At 51.4% G+C, this 8,686-nt stretch overlaps 1 long non-coding RNA gene across 1 annotated transcript, besides 1 other annotated feature; it reads right to left on the bottom strand.

Annotated features, from left to right (window-relative positions):
• On the bottom strand, positions 1-6,599 carry LINC02783 (long intergenic non-protein coding RNA 2783). Its single transcript, NR_148993.1, has 4 exons — positions 6,458-6,599; positions 3,223-3,423; positions 787-945; positions 1-88 (listed from the first exon to the last, which is right to left on the bottom strand). It is a non-coding gene; the product is annotated as a long intergenic non-protein coding RNA 2783 (long non-coding RNA).
• Positions 2,825-3,326: an enhancer, noted in NCBI's record as "H3K4me1 hESC enhancer chr1:17519557-17520058 (GRCh37/hg19 assembly coordinates)". NCBI's record gives its function as "activates a minimal SCP1, AML or CMV promoter by ChIP-STARR-seq in naive H9 embryonic stem cells {active_cell/tissue: H9 hESC(naive)}" and the evidence as "EXISTENCE:reporter gene assay evidence [ECO:0000049][PMID:30033119]".
• Positions 6,600-8,686: the final 2,087 nt, after the last annotated feature.

The raw sequence follows: 8,686 nt of genomic DNA, 5'->3' as shown, positions 1-8,686 counted from the left end.
CCGTATGCCGGCTCTGACTAAGCACTTTGCAGACATCATCCTTAATCCTTGCAACTGACCCGGGAAGGGAGCACTGCTATTGTCCTTGCTTTGCAGAGGGGGAAAATCTAGTGTCAGAGTTTAAGCAACGTGACCAAGGTCTCTTGCTAATTAGGATGGAAGCAGAGATGCAACTCCAGTCCATGAAACTTCAGAGCTTGTATTTTAGTTGCTACATCCCACTGGCTCCAAGAAGGATGAGGCCAGAGGGTGCCTGTGTCCCCTCATGGGTTGCTGGTGCTTATAGGCTGCAGGGACTGCCAGGCCCAGCCCCTCCCATTGTGTCACACACCCCCCGACTTCAGCCCTGCCAAAGGTGTGACTGTCTGGTGTCTGGCCCATTGGCCCCCAGCAGCCCTCCTGGACAGAGGCCTGGTGGCAAGAGGGTTCAAGAGACAACCAGTTTCCAGCTGTCCCCACACCATTAAGGTCCTCTGAGCACCAGCCGCCCAACTCCATCACTCCAGCACCCCTTAGAGCCTGGAGCCTCCCAGGGCATGAGTACGGACCTTCCAGTTCCTGCTGGCCTTGGAAAGGGCCAGGGTTGGGGCCTAGCCCAGAGCTAGGAAGGAGGCCCAACTCAGAAAGGGCCCTGATGGCTGGGGTGAGGGAATGGGGGTACACACACTCCCAGAAAGTCAGGAAAAGAGAAGGCTTAGAGATAACTCGCAAGTCCCAGGGACTTCGCATTTAAAGCAGATGACATAGTAGACACTCAGGACAAAGCAGGCAGGTGTCAAAGCCTACCTGCTCATCTCTTCCCCTCCAGAAGACCCTGTAACCCAGGTGCAGGAGCCTGAGGTTGCATAGATCCTCTCAGAAAGTCACCAGTCTGTCTGTCACCAATAAGAAGGCCCAGAGAGGGCAAGCAATTGGTCCAAGGCCACACAGCCCATGTTCTTTCCCCTACAACGAGGGAGAGAGGAAGTGGCACTGGGGGTGGAGGGGAAGAAACGATGGTCACAAGTGGGGCAAGCCACACCAGTAGTGGACAGAGCATGGGGACAGCGACAGGCCCCACCCGAGGCTACCACTTACCAGCTGGTGGATGCTTCACCACTCTGGGCCTTTACAATGCATGCCCCTTGACACCTCCCAGGTGTCTCCACAGGGTGGCTATGCTTATCTCCCAATCTGCTGATACTTATAAAGCACCACCAGGCACTCAGCACATATTAGTCCCCATCCTGATCCCTCATGATCTGCCTCCTCCAGAAAGCCCTCCCAGATGGCTCTGGCTCCCAGGGAATGTGCTGTTCTCTAAGCAGCCCCCACAGGCTCCTGTGCTGGGAAACCACCTGTTTCAACTCTGTTCCCCTTGTCACTCTGGTAAGTAAGACTGCACATTCCAAAAGGACAGGGACAGGGACCTTCTAGGCCTTTGGCTCAGGGGGATCAGGAAGCTGATATAAGTGAAAAACATCTAGAATTTACAGTGGTATGAGAGTTCTCAGCCACCCATCCCACAGCTGGCCAGTAGCCCCCACATTCCCTTCCCTGGGAAGAGGATTTTGCCACCCCTCGCAGAGCTCTTTGTCTGGCCCCCACTGCCCTGACTGGGGCACCTAGCGTCATCTGACGGGGGAGCTCCTGCTTCTTCACACCCCAGCCTGGGCCTGTGGCCCAGTGAAGCCAGAGGAGCCCCCAGAGAGGACAGCATGGGAGGAGAATGGGAGTGCAGGGGACAAAGACATACAGAGAAATGAACGGAGACAGAAAGAAGCAGACTGAAAAACAGAGAGACACAGACAGAGAAAGCCCAAAACAGGGATGAAAGAGAGAGAGAGAGCCCAGGAAAGGAAGAGAGATGCAGAGAAAGGCAGAGACAGTGAGGTGCAAAGAGAGACTGAGACAACCAGAGACTGAGATGGAGAGGGAAAAACTGAAGGACAGAGGGAGGAACAGAACGAAGAGAGACAGAGACACTGCAAGGGAGAGCAGGAGACAGCTCCCAGACAGGCAGAACAGAGCCCAGGAGCCCCGAGGCCCCAGAGCCCATGTGCTCCCTCTCCACTTTCCACATCCCTGGGGGCTCCCCCTTCCCAAGCCTGCTGATCCTGGCACTCAGGCAGGGCTGGGGGAGACAGGTAATGATCACTGAACTTGTGCATGGGCTGGGTGCTGCGGCCACACCCCCTTGACACCTCCCAGGTGGATGGCTGTACTTATCCCTAATGTGCAGATGAAGAAACTGAGGCTGGGAGCCATTGGGTAACTCGGCCAATGACACTGAATGTTAGGGTGCAGGCAGGAAGCTCATGGATAAGGAGTCTAAGGCCCAGAGAGGTGTGGTGCCTGGCTCTGGGTCACACAGCAGCCAGCTGCAGAGCCTGGGGCTGGAAGCCGCTTCCCCTGGCACCTTGCCTGGCTCATAAGAAAACAAAGCGAATCTCATTAAGTCTTTGGTAATGAGGCTCCAGGTCTTATCTGATGGGTGGTGGAGAACACTGTCAATGCCCCCCTCCACATTCTCCATGCCCACCTCCTGCCTCCTGCTCTCTTTTCTGGGAAGAACACCTCTGGGACCACCCAAACTCGCCCTCTCTTCTAGGAACCAGTCCCCTGCTGGTGGCATCTCCATCTCCCCACCCCCTGCTCTCCAGCCTGGATGCCCATATAGAACCAACGAGCAGCAGGGTGGCCATTTGTACACTCCACACAGTGACATCAGCGAAGCATGTCCTCAGGCTCCCCCCAAAAGTCCTAGGCCCCCTGGAGAAAAGGAGGGAGGACCAGCACGCTGACTCACATTGAGTGGCAGCTCTTGGCACATGCCTTCGCTCGCCGTGGCCTCTTGCATCCCACAAGGAAGGGACAGTTGAGGAAAGCGTGGCTTGGAGAGGAAGAGAGTCCCACAGGTCATCCAGGACAGCCACCCGACCCTGAGCTCATGCTCCTGCCATTACCCAGGACCCCCAGACTATTTTCCCATATGTCCCGGTCCCATCCCTGTCCTGAGCCAAAGTGTGGGCTGCCTCACCCTGCAGCCCTTCCTCCTCCACACTTACGCCCTGTGTCCTGGGATACAGCAGGCCGGGAAGAGGGGGACACTTCCTGGCTGTGGGACAAGACAAGACAAAGATCCTTTTTGGCCGTGGTGGTCCGGTCTAGGCCACAGTTTTCCTGTCTGCATCATTTGGGTGGAGGGCATAGTGTGATAGCTCTGAGGGTCCTTAGGCTTACCTCTCCTGAACTTCACCTCGCCTGCATGCCCTCTGGGGCCTGAGGTCCTCATTTCCACCCTCCAAGGTGGCCCTGGTGCCTCGTAGGCTGATTCCGGGTTTCCAGAGCCTTCAGGAGACAGCACTTCTGGTTCCTGGGGGTCAGGGAGCATCTAGGCATGGACGCTGTGATCTGCCTGGCCTCCTGCCACAGCCTTTTGACCTAGGGAGGGAGGAGGTTGGGAACAAGAATACAGGGAGTCTGCCTGAGGCTGTTCAGGGCTGCACCACACACCCTCACATGTGTCCCCAACCTTGCATGCTGCTGCTGGGGTGGGACGCAGCCTATGTCATCTCAGAGCTCCCAATCTAGGGCTGGCAGAGTCTGATGCAGACACAGAGATTACAAGACAGCTCTTCCCAGATAAGCATGTTGCCCAAAAGACCACCAGGATAGCTAAATAGCAGAAAGGAGCTTTACTAGTGGTATGAGTTTGCAAACCAGGAAGAGACAGTCTCTGGCGTGTTCTGGACGTGCTCTCTCTTGGGAGAGGAAAAGGGCAGGTTGGGTTTTGTGCCTCATGGAGCCCATATGACGCAATAGAGTCATACATATTCAGCAGGTTTGCGGGAAAGGCTATCCATATTTATGAAGGGAGGGGAGTGTATGCACACAGGCACACGTAGTGTAATGCACGCCCCACTTTCACACACGTAGTGTAAAGCAGACCCCACTTTCACTTTGGGCTAGGGTTCTAGTACTAAAATGAGGTGGAATTTCGTTCTTTATAGCAAAAGGTGCAGGACACAAAGACAGCTTGTTTGCAGACTCTATAAGCTGCTGAAATGGCTTAAGGTCTGCAGTTGCGTATCAGAAGAGAATGTTTGAGGCCAGGCGCAGTGGCTCATGCCTGTAATCCCAGCACTTTGGGAGGCCAAGGCAGGTGGATTGCTTGAGCCCAGGAGTTCGAGACCAGACTGAATAACATGGTGAAACCCTGTCTCTACAAGAGATAAAAAAAATTAGCCAGGCATGGTGGTGCATGCCTAATCCCAGCTACTCGGGAGGCTGAGGTGGAAGTATCACATGAGCCTGGAAGGTCGAGGATGCAGTGAGCCATGTTCACGCCACTGCACAGCAGCCCTGGGCAGCAGAGTGAGACTCTGTCTCAAAAAGAAGAAGAAGAAGAAAAAGGAGAAGGAAGAGGGACAAGAAGAAGAAGAGGAGGAAGAGGAAGAGGAGGAAGAGGAAGAGGAAGAAGAAGAAGAACAAGAAGAAGAGGAAGAAGAAGAAGAAGAAGAAGAAGAAGAAGAAGAAGAAGAAGAAGAAGAAGAAGAAGAAGAAGAAGAAGAAGAAGAAGACGGAGGAGGAGGAGGAGAAAGAAGAAGAAGAAGAAGAAAAAATGTTTGTCAGGCAGTTCCTCCATCCAGTCAGAGCTGTAGTGGTCTTGGTTGTAAATCCAAGTCATGAAGGATGTGACGATTTGCCTGACAGTTCCTATTATTAAGAGTTTAGCAAGGGTGTGGTAATTTTTTTTTTTTTCCCGAGACAGAGTCTCACACTATCGCCCAGGCTCCAGTGCAGTGGCCCGATCTCGGCTCACTGCAAGCTCCGCCTCCTGGGTTCATGCCATTCTCCTGCCTCAGCCTTCTGAGTAGCTGGGACTACAGGCGCCCGCCACAGCGCCCAGCTAATTTTTTTTGTATTTTTAGTAGAGACGGGGTTTCACCATGTTAGCCAAGATGGTCCCGATCTCCTGACCTCGTGATCAGCCCGCCTTAGCCTCCCAAAGTGCTGGGATAACAGGCATGAGCCACCACGCCCAGCTGGGTGTGGTTATTTTTGAGAAGTAGTCTCACTCACTCTGTTGCCCAGGCTGGAGTGCAGTGGCACAATCTTGGCTCACTGCAAACTCCAGCTCCCAGTTTCAAGCGATTCTCCTGCCTCAGCCTCCCGAGTAGCTGGGATGACAGGCACGCACCACCACCACCCAGCTAAGTTTTATATTTTTAGTAAAGACTGGCTGGGCTGGTCTCGAACTCCTGACCTCAAGTGATCTACCCACCTTGATCTCCCAAAGTGCTGGGATTACAGGCATGAGCCACCGTGCCCGGCCAGGTGTGGTTATTCTTGCAGTGGTGGGAATTTAGAGAGTTGCCATGCCAACCAGGCCTTGAACCTTCTGCCTGTAGGTAACTTTTGTTTCCTTAACCTTGGGGTCCATCTTAGTTGATAAAGGGGCATCTATTTTGGTGTCTCAGATGATGAACATAGAGAGGTCCCCCCAGGACCATGGGCTCTGGGTCCATCCGGGGTCAGGAGCCTTCCTGGGAGGTGACAGTGTAGCAGCAGCGTGAGGAAGGGACTGGGTGTCAGGCCCCTCTGTCCAGCACACCCCTTGCTTCCCTGTGGTCACTCGGCTCCCCAAGGCCAGGCCCCACTGCCTACCTGCTCCCAGGTGTTCACAGTGCCTCCTTCCTAGATAAGCTACAGAGAATGTCAGAGCTGTTGGGCCCTTAATGACACATGGGCCACAAGAGCAGAGAACGGAGAAAGGAGCTGGGTGGCACTGGGTGAGCTAGGAACAGGCCCCAGGCTAGAATGCAGGGCTCATGCCCTGCCCGGCACCCTGTGCACTGCCCTTTTGTGCCTGTTTTCAGACTCCAGGACACGATGCCCCCCGAGCCTGCCAAGGTGCCCCCCATCATTCATGCACCGATTGGCCATGGGCTTCTTCCATGTCCTGGGCCCGGCTTTCATGCCTGCCCACCGCCTGTGGCCTCAGCATGGCCACTTCACTCCAATGTGTTGGCCTCTGTCCCCATGCCACTCACAGCCCCCTGAGTCCCCATCAGGGCTGGCAGCCTGAGGGGTGGGAGGGGAAGTCTGGCTGTGCCTGACATGACAAGTTTTCCCAGGAGAGGTGAAGATTTCTAAACTGGACCCAGCTTTCCAGAGCATTCGCCAGCCTGGCCCCACCCCCACTCCCGACCAAAGCCTCCGCCCTCCTGGCTGGGTCTGACTTACCCACACTGAGCACCAGGAACTGGATTCCAGGGCCAAGAATTTGACCACATCCTGGTGGGTCCAGCCTAACATTCCCCAAAACAGGGCGGAAACCAAGGGAGGGATCAGCAGATGAGCACGCATTCAGCTGATGGAGTCAAGGAATCTTCTAAAAGCAGTACTCACTGCAAAGGATTTAAAAACCCAGCCCAGAAAATAAGCATAGGGAAACCCTTGCTTTTCACCTTACCTGGGTTCTGAAGAAATCTTAAGAAAACTTTTGTAAGTAAATCAAAAGTGACTTTGGTGAGGGGAGCTGACCCCTTAACAGCCACCTTTATTTCATGCTTATTCTAAATGCCTGTCTCCTCCATCACGGTCGAGCTGTCTTCAAGAATGAGGGCCACATCATACTCATTCTGATAACCCAGCACCCAGCACAGGGCCTGGCCCATTCCTTATTGGTGCTCTTGGAATGAGTTGATGAATAAGCAAGTTAAATTTGCTAATAGAGGAGGTAACTCACAATCCTTACATCTGACAAAGAGCTCGCATCCAGAATTTATAAGAACACCTACAAATAAATATGAAAAAGGCAGACCTCCTGATTTTTTTAACGAGCAAAAAAAATTCGCCGGGCTTGGTGGCTCACGTCTGTAATCTCAGCACTTTGGGAGGCCAAGGTGGGTGGATAACCTGAAGTCAGGAACTCAAGACTAGCCTGGCCAACATGGCAAAACCCCGTCTCTACTAAAAGTAAAACAATTAGCCAGGTGTGGTGGTGCACGCCTATAGTCCCAGGTACTCAGCAGGCTGAGGCAGGAGAATTGCTTGAACCTGGGAGGCAGAGGTTGCAGTGAGTCAAGATTGCGCCACTGCATCCCAGCCTAGGTGAGAAAGTGAGACTCTATTCCCCCAAAAAAGAAAAAAAAAATTGAACAGGCACTTCACTTAAAAACATAAAAGATACCAAGAGGCCAATAAACAGAGGAAAAGATGCTCAACTTCTTTAGTCACCAGGGAAATGCAAATGAAAACAAAAAGAAGACTCCACCACCAGGATAGCCAAGGTTAAAAAGCCTCACAATACCAAGTGTTGGCGATGTGGATGTGGAACAAATAGAACTCTCAGACACTCCCTGTGAGAATGGAAATTGGTAGGATCACATTGGAAAACTGTTGGCAGTATCTATTAGACTTGGAGCACAATACATACTTTCCCTGTGATATGTGTCCCCACCCAAATCTCACATCAAATTGTAATCCCCACGTGTCAAGGGAAGAACCTGGTGGGAGGTGATTGGATCATGGGGGTGGTTTCCCCCATGCTGTTCTCGTGATAGTGAGGGAGTTCTCATGAGATCTGATGGTTTAAAAGTGGCAGTTTCCCCTGTGCTGTCTCTCTCTCCTGCTGACTTGTGAAGAAGATGCTGACTTCTTCTTCCACCATGATTGCAAGTTTCTTGAGACCTCCACAGCCATGCAGAACTGTGAGTCAATTAAACCTCTTTCCTTCATAAATTACCCAGTCTCAAGTAGTTCTTTATAGCAATGCAAAAACAGACTAATACGCCTATGACCCAGCAATTCCACTCCTAGACACTGTAGAAGAATGAGACCATTTCCCACCAAAAGATATGTACAAGGACATTCATAGCAACTTTACTTTCAATAACCACAAATTGGAAATAACCCACATGTCCATCAATAGAGAGAGGGATACATACATTGTAGTATCTTCATTAAATGAAATACTATACAACAATGAAAAAGAACATATCACAGTTCCATGTGACAACAAGAATAAACCTCACAGACATATTGATGTGCAAGAGAATCCAGACACAAAAGACTAAATACTGCGTGATTCCATTTATATGAAGTTCAAGAACAGGCAAAGCTAACCTGTGGTGATAGAGATCAGAAAAGTAATTACATTTAGAGGAGGCAGCATTGACTAGCAGCAGGCATGAAGAAGCCTTCTGGGGTGTTGGAAATGTTCTGTATCTTGATCTGAGTGGTGATTACACTGCTGTAATTATATGTAAACATACATTGGGCTATACACTTAAAATTTATGTACTTTGTGTATAGGAACTTCAATAAGCAATTAAACATTTTTTTCCGTACAGTGAAAACACGCCCAAACCAGGATAGAAACCAGAAAAGCCATTGTCAGGTAACCACATGTACAACTGGTGGGGTTTAGAGTCAAAAACCTTCCAGAAACAGCATTCACTACAAGATTTTTATTTTATTTTATATTTTATGTTATTTATGAGATAAGGTCTGGCTCTATTGCCCAGGCTGGAGCTCAGTGGTACGATCTCGGCTCACTGCAACCTCTACCTCCTAGGCTCAAGCCATCCTTCCAACCTCAGCCTCCTGAGTAGCTGGGACTACAGATGTGCACTACCACACCTGGCTAATTTTTGTATTTTTAGTAGAGACAGGATTTCTGTATGTTGCCCGGGCTGGT

The sequence above is a fragment of the Homo sapiens genome, chromosome 1, assembly GCF_000001405.40.
Source record: "Homo sapiens chromosome 1, GRCh38.p14 Primary Assembly".
In the NCBI taxonomy this organism is placed as follows: Eukaryota; Metazoa; Chordata; class Mammalia; order Primates; family Hominidae; genus Homo; species Homo sapiens.
This window is presented reverse-complemented; position numbering and strand designations above follow the sequence as displayed.